General features: G+C 40.5%; 3 long non-coding RNA genes across 4 annotated transcripts in view, besides 4 other annotated features; 2 read left to right on the forward strand and 1 right to left on the reverse strand.

Moving 5' to 3' along the window:
• LINC01387 (long intergenic non-protein coding RNA 1387) overlaps positions 1–19,143 on the forward strand; it is a 79,238-nt gene that overhangs the window by 42,022 nt on the left and 18,073 nt on the right. The gene's annotated exons all lie outside the window — the stretch shown is intronic.
• Positions 3,223–3,916: an enhancer, noted in NCBI's record as "OCT4-NANOG-H3K27ac hESC enhancer chr18:6556659-6557352 (GRCh37/hg19 assembly coordinates)". NCBI's record gives its function as "activates a minimal SCP1, AML or CMV promoter by ChIP-STARR-seq in naive H9 embryonic stem cells {active_cell/tissue: H9 hESC(naive)}" and the evidence as "EXISTENCE:reporter gene assay evidence [ECO:0000049][PMID:30033119]".
• Positions 3,917–4,610: an enhancer, noted in NCBI's record as "OCT4-NANOG-H3K27ac hESC enhancer chr18:6557353-6558046 (GRCh37/hg19 assembly coordinates)". NCBI's record gives its function as "activates a minimal SCP1, AML or CMV promoter by ChIP-STARR-seq in naive and primed H9 embryonic stem cells {active_cell/tissue: H9 hESC(naive and primed)}" and the evidence as "EXISTENCE:reporter gene assay evidence [ECO:0000049][PMID:30033119]".
• Positions 4,037–17,757, forward strand: LOC105371972 (uncharacterized). 2 transcript variants are annotated; one of them, XR_935116.4, is made up of 3 exons: positions 4,037–4,965; positions 5,141–5,232; positions 15,096–17,757. It is a non-coding gene; the product is annotated as an uncharacterized LOC105371972 (long non-coding RNA). The 2 variants fall into 2 exon arrangements; XR_001753341.3 differs by lacking the exon at positions 15,096–17,757 and adding an exon at positions 13,089–13,257 and having other exon boundaries at positions 4,277–4,965.
• Positions 15,542–19,143, reverse strand: part of LOC107985176 (uncharacterized) — a 78,185-nt gene continuing 74,583 nt past the window's right edge. Inside the window, exon 3 of the long non-coding RNA XR_001753338.2 lies at positions 15,542–15,621. This is a non-coding gene — a long non-coding RNA (uncharacterized LOC107985176). The remainder of the gene's footprint in view (positions 15,622–19,143) is intronic.
• Positions 16,845–17,634: an enhancer, noted in NCBI's record as "NANOG-H3K27ac-H3K4me1 hESC enhancer chr18:6570281-6571070 (GRCh37/hg19 assembly coordinates)". NCBI's record gives its function as "activates a minimal SCP1, AML or CMV promoter by ChIP-STARR-seq in naive H9 embryonic stem cells {active_cell/tissue: H9 hESC(naive)}" and the evidence as "EXISTENCE:reporter gene assay evidence [ECO:0000049][PMID:30033119]".
• Positions 17,635–18,425: an enhancer, noted in NCBI's record as "NANOG-H3K27ac-H3K4me1 hESC enhancer chr18:6571071-6571861 (GRCh37/hg19 assembly coordinates)". NCBI's record gives its function as "activates a minimal SCP1, AML or CMV promoter by ChIP-STARR-seq in naive H9 embryonic stem cells {active_cell/tissue: H9 hESC(naive)}" and the evidence as "EXISTENCE:reporter gene assay evidence [ECO:0000049][PMID:30033119]".

The raw sequence follows: 19,143 nt of genomic DNA on the forward strand, positions 1-19,143 counted from the left end.
TTGCCCTCCAAAAGTGCTGAAATTACAGATGTAAACAATCACTCCGGCCTGTACTCATAATTCTTGAATATGATCCAAGACTTCATGTGCAAGTGAAAAATCTGTATTTAATTATCTGAACCTGGAACTTTATTTTATGTGTAGTCACAAGGTATATTTTTTGTATAGTGTAATATACACTAAATTTTTTCAGAGAAGATTGTTTCATTCAGAACTTATCAAGAGTTATTTACTATTCCAGAAAATGACATCATCAATGTTAATCACATGTTTGAGTTCATGAGTCATCAATACAACACTCAGATTCAGCCTGATTTTTGTAGTTTTTACATTGGGAGTGATTTTACATATGCATAAAATATCTACCTACTTCACTATACCCTTTGGTGTAATTAAGCCTAAGCTTTTACACATTGACATGTGTAATTCTTTAGTGTAAATTACTTTTTGTTCTTTATGTGTATGACCGTCAGAGTAGCATATTGATGGTTTTAACCTCTGTGTTTAGGTTGGTTATGCTAACTATAAATCTTACTTCAGTTTGGTAAAGAGGCATTGCAAAATAATTATAGTTAAAAGGAAGCATTTGGTTTTATAGGGTTGAGACCCACTATTCTAGAGCACTTTTATCCAAATACTGTATTTAATCAAATCCAAAATGCTATCGATTGTAAGATGTACCACTAAAAAAGATTTTTAAATGAGACCAATTAAACTATGAATTGTTTCCAGTTACAAGATGTGTCCTGACTTTGGAGATGTTAAAACATGTAAAGATGTGAGGCTTAGAATCGTTGAAATATTGGCATAATATTAATTATAATAGTAGCAGCTGCTGTTTATTAAGCACCTATTATGCTCTGTGAGCTTCACATGCATTATCTCATTTAATTGTTGTTACAACAATGCAAAGTTAGCACACGAAGAAACTGAGGGATACATTATTTGCCCAAGGTCATGGATTAAGTCTATGGTAGAACTGGGGTTTGAGTCTTTGAGTCTAGGTCTGACTTTATGTTCCAGACCCCTGTCTCTAGATCATCTGCTGTCTCTCGTTGCATGTTTCTCTCAAGATGGGAGGAATCTATGATTCCTCTCAGCTCTTGAGAAAATCCAAGATAGGTAGTAGCTCTTCTTAAAATCCAGCTCCCCTTCCTTAAGCAGAGTCAGGGCAGGCATGGGAGCTGAAGAAGGAAGGTGCTCTGCTCTCTCCTGCAGGGTGGAAACTGATGGAGACCATCGTAGTTCTGTGCTGAGAAGACAGGCCACCTGACCGAACATGACCCTCCATTTCAATGGATTTCAAATTCTTTTGACTATGACCTAGAAGAGGAAATTTGGTGGGTTTTTTTTTCCATTTGAGGTGAAGATCATGTAAGATAAAATTAACTATTGTAAAGTGTATAATTCGGTGGCACTCAGTGCATTCACAGTGTTGTGCAACCACCATCTCTCTGGTTCTATTAACAAAACATTCTCATCACCCTTAAAGGACACCTCATTCCTAGTAAGCTATTACTGCCCATTTCCTGAGCCCCCCAGCTCCTGACAACCGCTCATCTGCCTTCTGTCTCTATTGATGTCCCTTTTCCAAACGTTTCACATAAATGGAATCATACAATATGTGAGTTTTTGTGTCTGGCTTCTTTCACTCAGCAAAATGTTTTCAAGGTTCATCCACATTGTGGCTGAATACTATTCCACTGAATGGATACACCATATTCGCGTATTCATTCCCCTGTTGATAACATTTGATTTGTTTCCAACTTTTGGCTATTGTGAACTTTTATGTGCAAGTATTTGTTTGAATGCCTGTTTTTAATTCTTGTGGGTGTATACTCAGGAGGGTCATATGATAATTCTGTGTTTAACTGTTTGAGGAACTGCCAGACTGTTTTCAACAGCAGCCACACCATTTTACATCCCCACCACCTATGTACAAGGATTCCAGTTTCTTCACATCCTCACCAACACTTGTTATTTTCTGTTTTTTAAAAAAATTATAGCCATCCTAGTGGGTGTGGAAGAATACATTTTAAAAAATGATTTACATTTTAAATTACAACCTAGTATACACACATGCAAAGAAAAAATTAACTCAGATAGGAGCTTCACAAAATAATATTGCACTCTGTTATTTTCTATTCTATCATATTTCATTTTTCTTTAAAAATTCTGGTTATAATATACTAAATTGATTTCATTATCCACTAAAGGATGGTGGCCCACTGTTTGAAACTCATGGCTCTACGTGGATGCACAAATTCTAGGAACTTTTTCCGGTTTACATGAAAAATAGTAATAATTTGCCTTTGTGAGTCCAAGAAGACATCCCAGAAGACTATAAAGTAAATAAAATTTAAAAGTATAATTTACATTAACAGCAGAGTATTCAGGTGTTGAAGAATTCAGTGTTATTGGAAGAGGGCTGGCCCAAAGGTTATGACTCAGAAAATTGCTTTCTGTCCATGAACAAATAAGTTATCCTCTCTGAGATTAATTTTCTGCAGTGAGTAGATGCAGATCCCATGATCAGCACACTCGTTGGAAGGCTGTGATAAGGATTTGAACAGGATAATGGATGCGATTATAGTTTGAAAATAGTGTAATGATATAAACAGTGAATTGTGACCCTGGCACGCTGGCTCACGCCTGTAATCCCAGCACTTCGGGAGGCCGAGGTAAGTGGATCATTTGAGGTCAGGAGTTCAAAACCAGCCTGGCCAACATGGCGAAACCCCGTCTCTACTAAAAATACAAAAAACTTAGCCGGGTGCGGTGGCACGCACCTGTAATCCCAGCTACTCAGGATGCTGAGACAGGAGAATCATTCGAACCCGGGAGGACAAGGTTGCAGTGAGTTGAGATGGCACCATTGCACTCCAGGCTGGGCAACAAGAGCGAAACTCCACCTCAATAAATAAATAAATAAATAACAGTGAATTGTTACTTAAGTGTGTCTGCAGGAGCCTGCTTGTAGAGCACATTAGTCAATAATAATAATAGTGATAGCCTGGACAGCAACATTCATTAGCTACTTACTATGTGCCAGGCACTGTTCTAAGCTGTTTGTCTATATTAACTCGTTTAATCTTCTTATTATAATAGCTGTATAAGGTAGGTACTGTTAATATTAGCCCCTTTCTAAAAATGAGAAAATCAAGGCACAAGAACTTGATAACGAGTAGTCTGGCCAAAATTACATCTCTATTTGTAATAAATGGCAGAATTAGCTTTGAACCCAGAGGGTCCAGTTCCTGTTCCTAAATAGTTAACCACTATACTACACTTTCTATTTAAGACTGAAATCAGAATTTTTTATTAGTGTGTTTGAGCATTTATAAAGCTTCCTGTAGCATTAAGTACTTTTGCAAATCACATGCTTATCTGAGAATAATCAGTGGAAAAAAATGTACATTTTTAATACATTTTCAAGGAAAGAAGAATGTGATCAGCAAGTCCCTTCAATGAATGATCAGATATTAGCTCTGAAGACTGTAGACTAGCAGAGAGTTTTCTGAACGCATATGTATACATGTAGGAGTGCGTGTGTGTGTGTGTGTGTGTGTGTGTGTGTGTGTGTACGGGCAGGTGTGCAGGCATTTGCCCGCCGCAGCTTCAAAGAGAGATTGCCAGTTTCCTAGAGGCGCGATTGCTCGGGAACATGAATGAAAATCCTAAGACAGAAGAGACCAGTGGTTTAGCTGTCAGAATGCAGTGGCCTGCCCTCCTGACCCCTTGCTGACATTAAACAGCCCCTGCCCTGGAATGCCGCTCCTGGCCTGGCATCCTGGGAGCGTGTGTCCAGCCTGCGGGACAGAGATAAGCGTAAACCTAGCCTCTGATTCTGAACACTAGCTAAGGCTCCCGACAGTTGACGAGATTGATGATTTTCAGCTGGTATGTCTCCGTAACTGAGGAGGCCATAGCTTTGATGTATTGGTCAGATCAATTTGGCTTAAGTGCCCCAGTAAATGAATGCAAATGACTTAAGGAAATTTCTAACTCAAAGGCGAGCCACTAATCCACGTCTTTCAGACCAGAAGCCGAATCATCCAAAGCGGGTGCAGTATGTGGAGAAAGGGGTGCTTGTCTCCTCCGTTTTCTCCTTAGGAAGACTTCACTGTTGGAGACCTTTCTTCTGAGTGCTGCCCTGGGGTGCTGTTCAAAATCCAGGCGTCTCATGAATTATGCTGCCAGATCTAGGAGGAGCCAGTCCTCTTTGGAACTAGGTGAACTGGGCTAATGAGAAACAGGCCCATCTCATCCGCCAGCCAGTTTGCTCCAGGGCCAGAGGAAAGCCGGGGCCTCTGGCTCCCACATCCCATGTGGCAACCAACCATCAGGTTATGCTTGGCTTTGCAACCATCAGGAAAGGCCTCACGTCTGCCTAACTGCAAAACAATTTGGTTGGCTTATAAATTGCTGCCTCTATCATGTGCTTCTGAATTAAAAGGAACGGATGGTTTTTAAAGGTTTATCTGTTTCATTATTGATGCAGAATGACCTCGTGCTGACAAATTTCGATTTTCACACGGTTTCTTTGCTGATGCAGTATCTCTGCCACCCATGCTCTAGGGCAGCGTGGAGCCACTTCAGAGCATGGCTTTTGTGAGCCAGCGCCCAGCAGGGTGTTCTTTTCTGAGTGCAAAGAGAGAATCCACTGACCTCATTTGCTTCCATCCTGTGAACCTCTCAGTGTGTTTCAGAACACCAGGGTCTGAACAGAGAAGCTTCAGAATACTTTCTCCGACTAGAGAACTTTTTTATGGTGGGAGGAAAAAATGTTGCCAGTCCCACTTCACAGACACCTGGAATTCATGAAGTCTGAGGACTTCTTTCATTTTACTTTCAACTAAAAGCTCTAGCACGAAACAGCAAAGGCTCACAGAACTAAAGATCAGGAGGTGGCCCTGTGAGAGGGTGTTCAGCCTGGATCCCTGGTGAAACTCCATCATTGAGCAGGTCTGTGATAGCCCTTGTGGTCTGCTTTCTGCAGATAATACTCATAGACTATGCTGCATAAATTCTCAGATTATTCAAAGATGAACAAACAGTTCAAATGGGCAGTTTTATGTGAGTGTTTCACTCTCAACCCTTTCCTTTTTTCAGTATGTCTCCCTCCTTTTTTCCTCTCAAGCATATCTACTTCAGAAAGCGTGGAAAGAAAAGAGCCTGGTGGGAAAAGTCTATCAAGTGATAGTGACGTGCCCTTATGGAAAAAATTCTGGGGTAAGCAGAATTGGGGTTTTACTCTTAAGCTAACATGAGATGAGATTACTCTATCCTAACAAGATTTAAGCATCTTGTTTTTCTAAATGTTCGGTCATTTGTGTTAAAACAGAGGAAAATATGACATCTAACCTTTTTTTCCTGAGAAAATAATCACTGTCCTCCATGCTTTGCCAACAACAATCCTTTTTCCTCCCATTTATTGTAAGAGCTACAGTATCTGCAGTTTGGCAGAATCACCACCCTCTCTGGGGTGTTTGATTTCGCCTTTCGTATTTGAGCTCTTGGTGTGTGCGTGTATGTGTATGTGGGTGTGTATGTGTGTGGGTATGAATGTGGGTGCATGTCTGTGTGTATGTGTGTGCTGTCTGTGTATTTGTATTGAGGTAAGGACACTCTCTGAGATGTAAGAAAGCACTACAACTGTTTATAGGGAATGAGTTCTTTATTTTTATTCCCCAAGACGTTTTATAATCTTGTGTTTTTCAAGTTTGCCTTAAAGAATAAACAACCTTCTATTTTGTAAGTTTTTTTTAGATGTGTTCATTAGAAAGATCAGATCTTTCAGTACTTGCCATTAACCAGTTTTCTCTTAAGTTAATCATCCACATATAACTCTCCAAAGAATAGATTTACTTTAGTTGTGATTTTTCCAAAGTCTGTTTTTGCTTTCTCTGTTAAAAACAAATAGAAAAAAAAGGAAGGAGGAGATGAGAGAGAATCCTGCCCTTTTAGCATATAGAGTTCTGAAATAAAAGACTGAGTTGTACAGAAAAGCCGCCAACACCATCATTTGTTTTCTGTGGTTTCTGATGATTCTTTGTGGAGCAGTTTTCAAATGGAACATTTTCTTGCTATCACAGGAAAACAGCACACTCCAGGGTGGATTCTGATTGCTGTAGCTAAAATCTCTATCTCCTATTTCCAGAAGCAGAAACACAAATGAGGTCTGATGGTTGAAAACTTAATGGAAGAAAAAAATAGAACATTTATGCATAGAAATAAACACATACACACAAAGGAATACAGGAAAAACTGGGAAATCTGAATAAGATCAGTGGATTGTATTAGTGTCAATTTCCTGGCTCTGATATTGTACTACAGTTTTACAAGATGTTATCACTGGGAGAAACTAGGTTAAAAAGTACATGAGATACCTCTGTATTATTTATTATAATTGCATGTGAATCTAAAATTATCTCAAAATAAAAAAATAATTTTTAAAAAATTTGGAAAAGTAACAAAAGGAAAACTAAATAGTACCTTAAAAATAAAAAACTATTTAACATTTGTATTTTGAAAATAATTAGAAGCATATGAAAGAGATTGTGGCTTTTTTGTTCATTCTTTTATAAATTACTGGTAACTTATCATAGTACCTAAAACACGAAAGGAAACAGGTATAGTATGCTTCAGTTTGTAAGTTCAGAGGGTATTTTTGGTGGATTAAACCAATAACCTAAATTATCATGAGAATTATGAAGCCAAGTTTTTATGTACTTTGTGATAATTTAGGTTGAAGGCACATTATACTCTGACTGGCAACATCTAGGTAGAATTAAAACTTTATAACTTTGGTTAGTAAAAACGATGGAATTAGATAAATCCATTATCCTTTATGGCTATAATAAAGACCTTCGCCAAAACAAAGAATATGAGTATATTTGCTTTTCAGGGATGGGAAAAAGAGGATTCTAGGAATAACCATTAATATTCAGAGTGAAATGTGGGTTGAGATGAAAAGATAATACTTACCCCTTTAACAAACCATGTAGTCTATTACAGTGGATGAAGAGGTTTAAAAAAGCAAAATCTCTATCATCTATTTATCTATTAACTCTTTTTTTTTTTTTTTTTTTTTTTGAGACAGAGTTTCACTCTTGTTGCCCAGGCTGGAATGCAGTGGTGCAATCTTGGCTCACTGCAACCTCTGCCTCCCAGGTTCAAGCAATTCTTCTGCCTCAGCCTCCCAAGTAGCTGGGATTACAGGCACTAGCCACCATGCCTGGCTATTTTTTTTTAGTAGAGACGGTGTTTCACCATGTTGACCAGGCTGGTCTCGAACTCCTGACCTCAGGTGATCCGCCCGCCTTGACCTTCCAAAGTGCTGGGATTACAGGCATAAGCCACCACGCCCAGCCTGCTTTAGATATTTTCTGATATACGTTTATGTCATTATAAAACTGAGAGACAGAGTATTTGTAGCAAAAATTTTAGAGACCAGACTTCACAGAAAAGGAATAACTAAATCCCTTCTGAAAGATATCTTACTACCTAACCACCTGTCAAAGCCTGTGAGATTTACTATATCCCTGCTACAACACAACATAGCTCTACAGACAACTTGAACTCGAGATTTCGTTTTGATACGTGATTTTGTCATGTTTGGAGAAAGTGATGATGTTGAAAGAAAAGTGTCTCCTCTTTAAAATACGTTCCTTAAGCGACTGCCTTGGAGCGGGAGATTAGGTCTCATTTCCATTCAATTCAAATTGGGCTTAAAATGTAATTCCAGGCCCTGGCAGCTACCACAGGATAATATGCTCCCTCAGTGAGAAAAAACTTGGCACTTAAAACTGATGAGTAGGCCGGGTGTGGTGACTTACGCTTGTAAATCCTAGCATTTTGGGAGACCGAAGCTGGAGGATTACCTGAGGCCAGGAGTTCAAGATGAGCCTGAGAAACATAGCCAGACTCTGTCTCTACAAAAAATTTTAAAATTAGCTGGGTGTGGTGGCACATGCCTGTAGTCCCAGCTACTCAGGAGGCTGAGGTGGGAGGACTGCTTGAGCCCAGGAGTTTGAGGCTGCAGTAAACCATGACTGTGCAACTGCATTCTAGCCTGGGCAACAGAGTGAGATCCTGTCAAAAAAAAAAAAAAAAACCAGAGATCTTTGTGTTTCTTCTTTGCAAGAGTAGGATTAGCTCAGGCCGCTGCGGTGGGGCTGAGCCCACAGATAAGGATTATGTCAGCTTGGCTTCTAAGTTTGAGGAGTTAAAAGGAGATTGAGCAAGAGATTTACGGCTGGCTGCCAGAGGAACACTTCAGGTCACAGAGGCTTATGGAACTACTCGAGTCACAGTATGTGAAACGCAAACAGCTGTCTGCCTTACTGAGGCCAAACCTGAGTGAAAACGCATGGTTGTGGAGTGCAGGGGCAGGAACTTAAACACACATGCAAGGTGAAGGAGGGCCTGCAGAGAGTCTTATGAGCGGTCAGCCACTTCTCTGTTAGCTAAAACCTTCAAACACCTTTTTTCCTATTTCTGATACTGCTTTGGGAAAATAACCAGGCAGTTGGTCTGTGTCCAGTCTACTGTAATAACAGGATTACCATTTACTCGGCACCTGATTACCACATGCCAGCCATTTCATGTGGCTTATCTCGGTGTATGATTACACTACCCATAGGCCATAGGTACTATTACTATTTCCATTTCACAGATGAGTAAGCTAAGGCTTACAGAGGTTAAGGAACTTGCCTCAAGTCACATTCTTAGGAGTAATAGAACCAGTACTGAAATTCGAGCAGCTGGCCTTAGCGCATGCGCTCACTAAACTCACTACGGTGTACAGCTCTCTCTCTCTGTGGCAGCTGATGAGGCGGGAGCTGCTGGTGGAAATTCTTCATGGGTCTCTTGTGTTTCTACATATCTCCACTTTGCTAAAAGAGGCACTAGCCATCTATGTTCTGGGCTATATCTTCAAGAATGCTTATATAGCAAATAGTCTTGGAAGACAGAGATGGCACTGTCTCTGAAGCAAAGGGCAGGCATGCTTAGTGCCTACTTTAAAAAGTCCGAGTTCCCTACCTTCAAGTTTCCTCTACCACATCATGACTGCTGTGTCTGCACGTGTCTTCTGGCCCTCTTTGCATTGTCCTGTGGGAACTGGGGAGTGGGGAACCAACAGAAGTGCAGAAGTCCCAGCTACTGTATAGCTGTGAAAAATAAACCATCCTTTTGTCTCTCTCCCAGTAGTCTCATGTCTTCTACCAGCCTCCCTGGGATGTGGCCTGCTAACTTAGTTTGCATTTGTTCTATTTCATGACAGTAGGAGGGGCTAGATTAGAAAAGGGGCTAAAATAGGCCAAGCACGGTTGCTTACACCTGTAATACCAGCACTTTGGGAGGCCGAGGTGGGCGGATCACTTGAGGTCAGGAGTTTGAGACCAGCCTGGCCAACGTGGTGAAACCCTGTCTCTACTGAAAAATGCAAATATTAGCCCGGCATGGTGGTGCGCACTTGGAATCCCAGCTATTTGGGAGGCTGAGGCAGGAGTATCACTTGAACCCAGAAGGCAGAGGCTGCAGGGAGTCAAGATGGCGCCACTGCACGCCAGCCTGGGCAACAGAGTGAGACTCTGTCTCAAAAAAAAAAGTGGCTAAAATAGCTGATGGACTTTATGGAGACAATTTCATGGTTCCCAGAAGGAAGACAGAGAAGGATTTAATGCAGAGCAGTGAATCCCCTGGGCTTATGAACCAAACCACTTGTCTACCTAGTTTGTTTTCCTTTGACTGTTAGAGTGGATACTGGGGTGCTCCATCCAGATGTTACCTTCACAGCTGGGACACTCATTTCCCAGCTGCTGGAAGCATTGGCAGTCAAAGATTCTCATCTGAGTCCTTCTCCGTGAATTATCTTAGGCTACCTTGCCCAAGGATGGCCTCCTTCTACGAGTCTGCGGCTGTGGGTGGGTTGGGGGAAGTGAGGGAGTGCAGAATTTTCTGCCCTTGCTTCAAAGCAGGACAGCTCTGATGTTAGCTCCAGAGCTTCCTTTGGGAGAGGTTCAGTTTTCTGCCTTGTTTTGTGTGCGTCTGTGCAGACATCACAGTTCAGCTCCTTCCTCTGCTAAAATGCACTCCCTTCACTCATAGCACTGACTTAGAGGGGCCTCCGAAAGAAATTTCCAGTGTGTAATCTCAGTGCACAAATCTTAGAGAATGTTTCCCAGGGAAGTGACCAAAGACAGTTCTCTTATAAATCATGATATGCAACAAAAGGTCATATGAAAAAAGTGCTTCCCAAGATTTTGTGTGCTTTTAGTCACCATTTTTTGGTATCCATAGGCTTAAATAGGCCATTCAAATATTACCTATAAGCTTGAAAAAATAATATAGTTACCTCAAATTCTGATAGTTACATTAAAGAAATTATGTTTTTTAAGCACTAAAATTTTGACAATTTTGTAGTATATTCACCGAATTGCTTTTTCTAACACACTATTATACTAGTAAGTAAAAAGTAATAGAAAAATCTTTAACTTATTATAAAATGCCCTGATGGAAATTTTGGTACAATTGAATTTCTGTTTTCACTTGAGATACAGATACTTTGAATGTTTCATAGATTATGTAAATGGAACAGTGGGAAACAAGTCACACCATTTAATGTGTCCAGGAAAAATAGAATAACCTCCTTTCCTACAGAGGGAGGCAAAAAGACCGTAAGATTTGTTGGAATGGAAAATTTGGAGCTTTGCACAACCTCTGAAGTATAGATTTGGAGGGGAAAAGTGGTAATGAATACACTGAAACAACTTCCTCACTTTGGAATTAACAAGAATAGACCAGTAAGAGCAAGGATAAGATACAGGGCCAGTAGGTCAGTACCAGGCTGATGTGATGTCAGTAACGTTAAGGAACCCAACCTTTTGTTAAATGATGTCATCAGCTTTTTTTTTTTTTTTTTTGAGACAGAGTCTCACTCTATTGCCCAGGCTGGAGTGCAGTGCTACGATCTGGGATCACTGCAAATTCCACCTCCCAGGTTCAAGGGATTTTCATGCCTCAGCCTCCCAAGCAGCTGTGATTACAGGCGTGCGCCACCACGCCCGGCTAATTTTTGCATTTTTACTAGAGACAGGGTTTCACCATGTTGGCCAGGGTGGTCTTAAACTCCTGACTTCAAGTGATCCACCGGCCTTGGCCTCCCAAAGTGCTGGGATAGCATAGTTATTGGTTGTTTCTGATTGGAAACTAAGTGTGGAAATAAGACCTCTCCAGCTCCTGCGGTTATAAGCTTTGTCCCATGTGATAAACAAATCAGACTTTTTTTACGCTGGGAGTAGTTTAATTTTCAACCTCTGCTGCAGGGGAGACTATTCCTTCATTATATTAAGGTAAAAGCAGCACTAAGATATTTTAAAGTTTTATTTTTTAAAAGAAAGTTTCACATGAAACATGAACATTTCTCATGAATAAATGCATTATATTGACAAGTTTCATTCTTATCATGCAACAAGTTGAACCAGTTACTTTTAATCAAAATAATGTTATGCAAGATTTAATAGTCCAATACTCAACTCAGTTATGTAAACAAACAAGACAAGCTAAATCCTTTGTAGTCTGCTAGATGTTTTGCTTGGTTGGAATGGATCTCCCACATAAGACACAATCTTTAAATTGAAAAAGGAAGTCCTAGCGATAGCAAATATACAAACAAAAAGGAGTGTTAGTTTAAATCCTTATTTAGCTTATCTGAAGTTGCATACAATAAACAGAGTTTCATTGTGTTCCAAACAACTCATATATTGCTTCATAAACCTGGTATCTTATTATTCAAGACTTCAGACCAAAAATGAGGTAACAGATTGAGCAAGTTTCTGTTTCATCCATAGAGATATTTAAGGTGACACTACAAAGAAATTTTGGGCTGGGCATGGTGGCTCACACCTGCAATCCCCACACTTTGGGAAGCCAAGGCGGGATGTCGCTTGAGGCCAGGAGTTTGAGATCAGCCTGGCCAACATGGTGAAAATCTCTCTCTACTAAAAATACAAAAATTAGCCATGTGTGGTGGCATGATCCTGTAATCCCAGCTACTTTGGAGGCTGAGGCATGAGAATCACTTGAACCCAGGAGACAAAGGTTGCAGTGAGCTGAGATCACTCCACTGCATTCCATCCTGGGTGACAGAGCAAGACCCTGTCTCAAAAAAAAGAGAAAGGAATTTTGTTCTACAAGGGTGACGTTACAAAGAATACATAATTGTAAGGGAAACATCTTCCCCATGGGTATGAATAGTTTTTAAATTTTTGGAATTAGAGATATACAGATTCTTTTAAAATTGTTATCTAAAATCATTATTGCTCAATAATTTTCTAGCAGGTGAAACAGGCACAAAGTTTAACCAGTTGAAATCTGGGTGGTAAAAATGCAGACGAGGGGTTATCTCAAGATCAGCATTCAACTCAAAGGCAGTCCAGTCCAGTGCTTTTTGTGTGTGTTTGTGTGTGAGTATGCATGCATGTGGGTAAATGATCAAAGACTCTTAATGAGACCTAAGATTTCGAAGTTCTCCTAAGCAAGCAAATGTACATGAAGTACCTAATGCAATGGCTGGAATATGAAAAGACCTCAAAATGTATGTCAGTCTATGACTCTGCATGGATGGAAATATTGCCTGTCTGTCTGGATACCTCAGATAGATTTACTCAAGTCAGGCTTGCATTGCAGCTACAGAAAATTCCAAGCAGTTTTTTGATACCTACCTGATTGCTCTTCTAGTCAACACCCCTTACTGACAAATACTTCAGAAGCCACTCTTTCTGGCAGTTCTGGGCTATGCTCAGGGATCACTTGGGGGTCTTAAAAGCTGGGCAGAATCACCCCAAAGCTAAACAATTGAAAACAATGTAGGAAAACACAGAGGAGAATGAGTATGGGCTTCTTCCACGTGGGCGAAACAAGACAGTCAAGACAGTCATGAATCAAATTTTAAAATCAAATCTACCAGATTTTGATGTCTTTATGACACATTCTATTACTCAACTTTGGAAAAGAATATCTTGAGTCGTGTGAATAAGCCTAGTACTTGCATTTTGAATGGGTCCTTCCTTTGGTGTTTACAGTTCAGAAACAATAGAGATACCAAACAAGATAAGACTAAGCCACAGAGGTATCTGAAAAGCTGCCATCAATCAAAGCTCTTTGTGAAGCTGGTTAGTGCAGGTTCCATTGTTCTAAGGAGCAGGCAAAAGGAACAAATAAAATCCAGCTGTTTCTTCATTCTTGCACCAGGTGAGTCCCAGTATCAATACTTCATTCATTGTGGAGTAAGGGGAAAGTGGCCTTCATTTCCTTTCTCATTCCATTTTGAAACCTCAGATTTCTTTCTTTCTGCCAATGATACCCAGTTGTTGAGTCATAGCCACCTGGGCTCTAGTTCTGGCATTGCTTGCAATGTCATCATGAGAACCTGATAGATGGTGTTAATAGCAGAGTTTAGACTTACTGATCAAGAAAAAAATACTTTTAGATTGCTTACCTTTGGAGGGTTTTGCTATGTTTAAAGAAAGTCAGTTTTTGACACTCAAATTTAATTGACTGTCCTATATAGCAGTCATTTCACATGATAATTTTTTTCACAAAATAAAGGAATTTAGTGCGCTAAAAGTTTCCTGAATGGTGGGATGTTGATAAAAGTAAAGTTGTGAATTGGGGGGGTCACGTGAACCAGGATTTAATTGCATTTGTGCCACTTGGTGTTAGACCCTTTCTCTACTCATATTAACTCTACCTCTGTTGTTCATAGTTTCCTTACTCGCAAATTAACATAACTGTGTGATTTTTGTGGACTCTAGAAAAACATCTTGTGGGATGGATTTCTAGATTTAGAAATGCTTTTAGCATTTATTAACACCCATAACCTAGGAAATGAAAGTAATAAAAATAATATTTTGGTAAGACAGAAAATCTGTTTTCATTTCTCCTTTTTGATATTTTTAATTGGTTGGGGCAGAAAGTTCTTTTGTGTTCTTGTGTGGGCATGTATATGCTAATGAATTTGAGATGAGGAGCCACTGTCTTTAAGACAACTCTCCCTTATGATGTTTTGCATACATGTATATTCTCTTTCACTCTAGATTCAACTTCGAATAAACACCATGCTCTCAGCCAAGGAAGAGTAAATCTAGCATTAGTCATGACTGTCTTGTTTCGCCCACGTGGAAGAATCTCACATCCATTCGTCTCCGTGTTTCCCTGTATTGTTTTTGATCTTTTAGCTTCGAGAGATTCTTCCCAGCTTCTAGAACTCCCAAGTGATCCCTGAGCATAGTCCAGAACTACCAGAAAGAGTATTTTTCCAACAAGTTTCCAAAGTATTTGTTGGTATGGGGTGTTGACTACAAGAGCAATCAATAACTCTGCTTGGAGTTTTCTATAGCTGTAATGCAAGCCTGACTAATAAATCCAACCGAGGCACCCAGACAGACAGGCAATATTTTCATCCATGTGTTGAGGCCTTTGCATATTCTGGACAATGTGGGTTAGGCACTTCACGTACCTTTCTTTGCTTAGTCTTCATAACAGCTGAGTGAATCAGGTAATATAGTATAGTCTCCACTTTGTTGAGAGTTTAGGTAACTTGCTCAAGACCACTCAAACATTTGCCCCTGGTTCCAAATGCTGCAGTCTTAACTACTTAAAACATTGTTGGTCGGACATGGTGGCTCATGCCTGTAATCCCAGTATTTTGGGAGGCTGAGGCAGGTGGATCACCTGAGGTCAGGAGTTCAAGACCAACTTGGCCAACAGGGTGAAACCCCCATTTCTACTAAAAAGACAAAAATTAGCTGGACGTGGTGGTGCACACCTGTAATCCCAGCTGCTCGGGAGACTGAGGTGGGAGAATTGCTTGAACCCAGGAGGCAGAGTTTGCAGTGAGCCAAGATCGTGCCACTGCACTCCAGGCTGGGTGACAGAACGAGACTCCATCTCAAAAAAAAAAAAAAAATTGTAATCTGTACTGACAGCCCAATGCCCTGATAGATGATTAATTAAGAGTATTTTAACCCCTTTTACCTAAGAAGGAAGATCTGAATTCTTCTGACATGCCTATGTCATGTATTTTCCAGATAACACCCTCCAAAACCCCGCAAGGTGAAGCTCATGTCATCCAAAACCAAGGCATGAGCCAGAGCCTAAATAGAGGAAAGAAAATAGAAGAGAGAATTCTAGCGACATATCTGGTCATCATTCCAAGCAACCTGGCTGAACTTTTGCATCGACAAACAATTTTTTCTTGAGCATTTTTAAATTTACAAGCTGGTTTTCAACAAAGCTTTTCAAAAAGAAGTCTTTATGATGGTAAATCTTTAAAAGAAATGTGTTTTAGACCAAGAAAGGCAAACCTTTCATGTCCTGTTTAGTCTCTAGCATGCTTGTTTTCAAAACACAAGCTCCAGTCTGCATGTTTCTGCAGTCAACTGTCTGTCTTAGAAAATATCTCAAAATCAATCTGTCCCCGTGTTTGCTTATGATTCTGCGGTAATCCTCTGTTTGTAGTCACAAGTTGTCAGGAGAACATCATGTAAGGCATGGTATGAAGACTTAAGAAATCTTGAAATCAGAAACTTCAATTTTCTTTCTCTTGAAGTGTTTCTAAGGGATGAAAAATGAGAAAGGAAATTAGCATCTACTGTTACCTCATTTAATTCCTTCAACCATCTTCAGGGTATTATTGTCTCCAAAAAGAAACCAAGGTTCAGAGAAGAGGACTCACTTGCCCTGTGACCTATGACCAGGGGTCCCACGTTGGGACCCAGAATTCTGACTCGAACCCAGTGCTGGCTCCCCTGTGTCCCAGGGATGGGCAGGATAAGATGTTCTTTAAAACTTTGTTTGTTGGGCACCTCAAAAAACCCTTATGAATTATTGCTTAAGTTATTTTGGCATAATAACGTCACTAAGTCCATGGAAAATTAAACTTTTAGAATCTCTGTTATATGGCTAGATCAATACTAAACTACCCCTTTTTTTCCAAGTCCCTGGAAAAAGTGAAATTATAAGTTTTGACTACATGGGAGGGCTTTGGTGCCTCATACACTTGCATTAAATGCAGTATCCTTGAAAATAATAGAATATGTATTTGTGAGAGTAAAAATTTATACATGCAGCAGTCCATAAGAGAATTAGATCTAGAAAGTACAACTTGAAAGAGTTCTAAACTCTTAGAACAAATTGATTTAAATTTGAATAGTACTGAATATGAATTGATGGAAAGTGAATATTTAGAACCCCCTTTTGTGAATTTCAGTAAGCTGACATTTGTTAGCTCCTGACGCAGTAGCTTTTCTGAGTCAAGAACTGAAGGTACCTTGAATTACCTGACAGATAATCATACAGAGATGTGAAGTCAAATGTCATATTCCATTAAGCCTAATCTGCAGTTGCAGGAAGGGTGGACAATCTTGCCTAAACATTTGACAGATTTGGAATGTCTCTTGCCATAGACATTTAGCATGAACCAGCTTCATTGTCCTAGTATCTGTCACACAGAAATGGTCCCTTGCTCGGCTTCTAATGGATTTGCTGCAAAGGCTGTGAGGAATGAGTCACACTCAGGGACACGATGACACAGGAACAGCTTCTACAACACAATCCTCTGCAATAGGGAAAGCTGTGCCTCTCCCCAGGGACCTGCCTATAAAGTTGGTCTTCTTTCCACTAAGGAGGCATTCCTGAGAGCCCCCCATAAATTAAGGAGAACTTCTCTAGGTAACTACTAAAAAATAAGGCCAACAAACTAAATCCTTGGGATATGAAATATTAATGTGATGGGAATTACCTTAATAGGAAACAATTGAGTATACACTGTATTACATAAGTGAGGCTTAAAAAAAAAATAACATTGAGTTCCGGGCATTTTTTTTCTTCCTTGGAAAATGCCTTGAAATCTTTTCCATCAACACAGTCTAACAGTACAGGTTATGGGTGACATATAGTTTCAAGGCAAATTGCAGCTTAGTTGGTCAAACTCTTTCAGTAGGAAAAAAAATGACAATTTGAAAGAGTTCTGGAAGGGCTAACACTAAACAGTTCCATCTTGACCTCAAACCAACGCAATCTGCAAACAAGTCAATATGTGAACCCAAAGGAAGATTCTGCCCCAGCCTAAGAAAGGGACAACTTTTCCTTCTCTGGAATCGAAATGTTCCATGAAATTAAATCATTGATTAAAAGCTGGGGAGGCAAAGACTGTTGAAATGTCAGTTAAGATACTTTAGGCTGCAAATCTGATTCACCATTGCTTAAACGATAAGAAATGGTATCTGCACAGCTGGAAGTCCAGGATGGGATGGCTTCAAGTTTGGCTCTATCCAGGGACTGTCTCTCAATCTTCTGTTTAGTGGGTGTTGTCCTAGGCTGGCTTCACTCAAGGGGATAAAAATAAGTATGGTCCTCCCAGGCCTTATATCCATCTACACAACATCCTGGGGAAGAGGTTTCTGGAACCTCTAGTACTAATCCATATACCATGGGAATAACAGGTACTGATTGGCTTCAACCTGAATTCCTTAAATTAATCTTTGTGAAAAGGAGGCTGGGATGACCTTGATTGAGTTAAAATAGTCAGGGTTCCACCTGTGGAGTGGAGGATGAGATCAGTTTCCTACAATCCACATCCTACACAATGGGTGAGGGATGGAAGGAATGCTGGAGACTACCACATACCCGCCGATATTCATGATATCTTGGTCTTTTGTGTTTCACAATAAACTCTTAAGAACATTGTGAGTATTTTATGGATGTGAAGGTTTTTCAGAGGAATTTATTGTAGGGAAAACAAAAAGATCAATGAGTTTAAGCTTTTAGGCTTAAACTCTCTCTGCTCCCCTGCATTACACTTTTATTCTTATGCTGTGACAGCAGACCCTCCTCCCCTATTGGCCACCCCCTGTGCCCCTGCTAGTCCTCTGGGCCCTCTGTCATTCCCACTGTGGCCACTGTTGAAGTGACTGGCTTCCTACAGGCACTGACCAGCTTTGAGCAGGTGGCACCTGCCGGCCCCTTGCTGCAGGCCACTCCCTGTGCTTCTGGCTTCCTGCCGTAGGGTTCACTATGGATGCCTAAGGAAATCTGCCAGGCAGTGTAGGAAAGTTCACACCTACAGGACCATGCACCCCGTGTCCTTCAGCACATCTCAAGAAGCTCCTCAGAAAGTGCAAGGGTCGAGCCCCAGAGGCATCTTGTATCAACTTCCCTTCCTTTCTTCTTCCACTCTCTCTGCCCCTCATGCCAATCCCTCCTTTACCAAATAAGTGCCTTCCTTCAGGGTTGGAATCAGGCTGTGCTTTCAGGGATGCTCTGGACAGCATTAACTCTTAGGTGACATTTGTGTAGCATACATCTACGGAGAATGTAAATGTTACCTCGCAAACACATACATGAGCCCCCAAACTTCTGAAGACTAAAGCAAATTCAAGTCTTGAATTCTGTGCAAAAAGCCAGATTCGCTATTCATTAGAGTGTCCTATGTAACACCTTTCTCTCTGCACATCCCATCATCTTTCTCCCTAGACAGTAGCTGTCTCGCCATTTTTATCGTGTCTGGCCCACGAGTTACCTATGTATGTGCATTCTCAGAGAGTTAAAGTGTCTCAAAAGATGGTTAAAATGAAGGTAGAGGCCGGATACAGTGGCTCATGTCTGTAATCTTGGCACCCTGGGAAGCCGAGGAGGGCAGGTCACTTGAGGTCAGGAGTTTGAGACCAGCCTGGTCAATGTGGTGAAACCCCGTCTCTACTAAAAATACAAAAATTAGCCGGGCATGGTGGCGGGTGCCTGTAATCCCAGCTAGGTTGAGGCAGGAGAATCTCTTGAACCCAGAAGGCAGAGGTTGCAGTGAGCCAAGACTGTGCCATTGCACTCCAGCCTGCGTAACAAGAGCAAAACTTATCTCAATAAATAAATAATAAATAAATAAATAAATAAATAAATAAATAAATAAATAAAGTGAAGGTAGAGATGAAGCTACACTGGAGGAACAAACAAAGTGAAGGAATTGGAGAGAAAAGCTCATGCCAGGGATGACCCATGTGAAAAGAGACGACAGCTGGAAGGCTCACATCGTTACACCCCAGACTCAGTCCTGTGCAGATTTAGCTTTCGTCACTGGCCTGC

This window comes from Homo sapiens, chromosome 18 (genome assembly GCF_000001405.40).
Source record: "Homo sapiens chromosome 18, GRCh38.p14 Primary Assembly".
In the NCBI taxonomy this organism is placed as follows: Eukaryota; Metazoa; Chordata; class Mammalia; order Primates; family Hominidae; genus Homo; species Homo sapiens.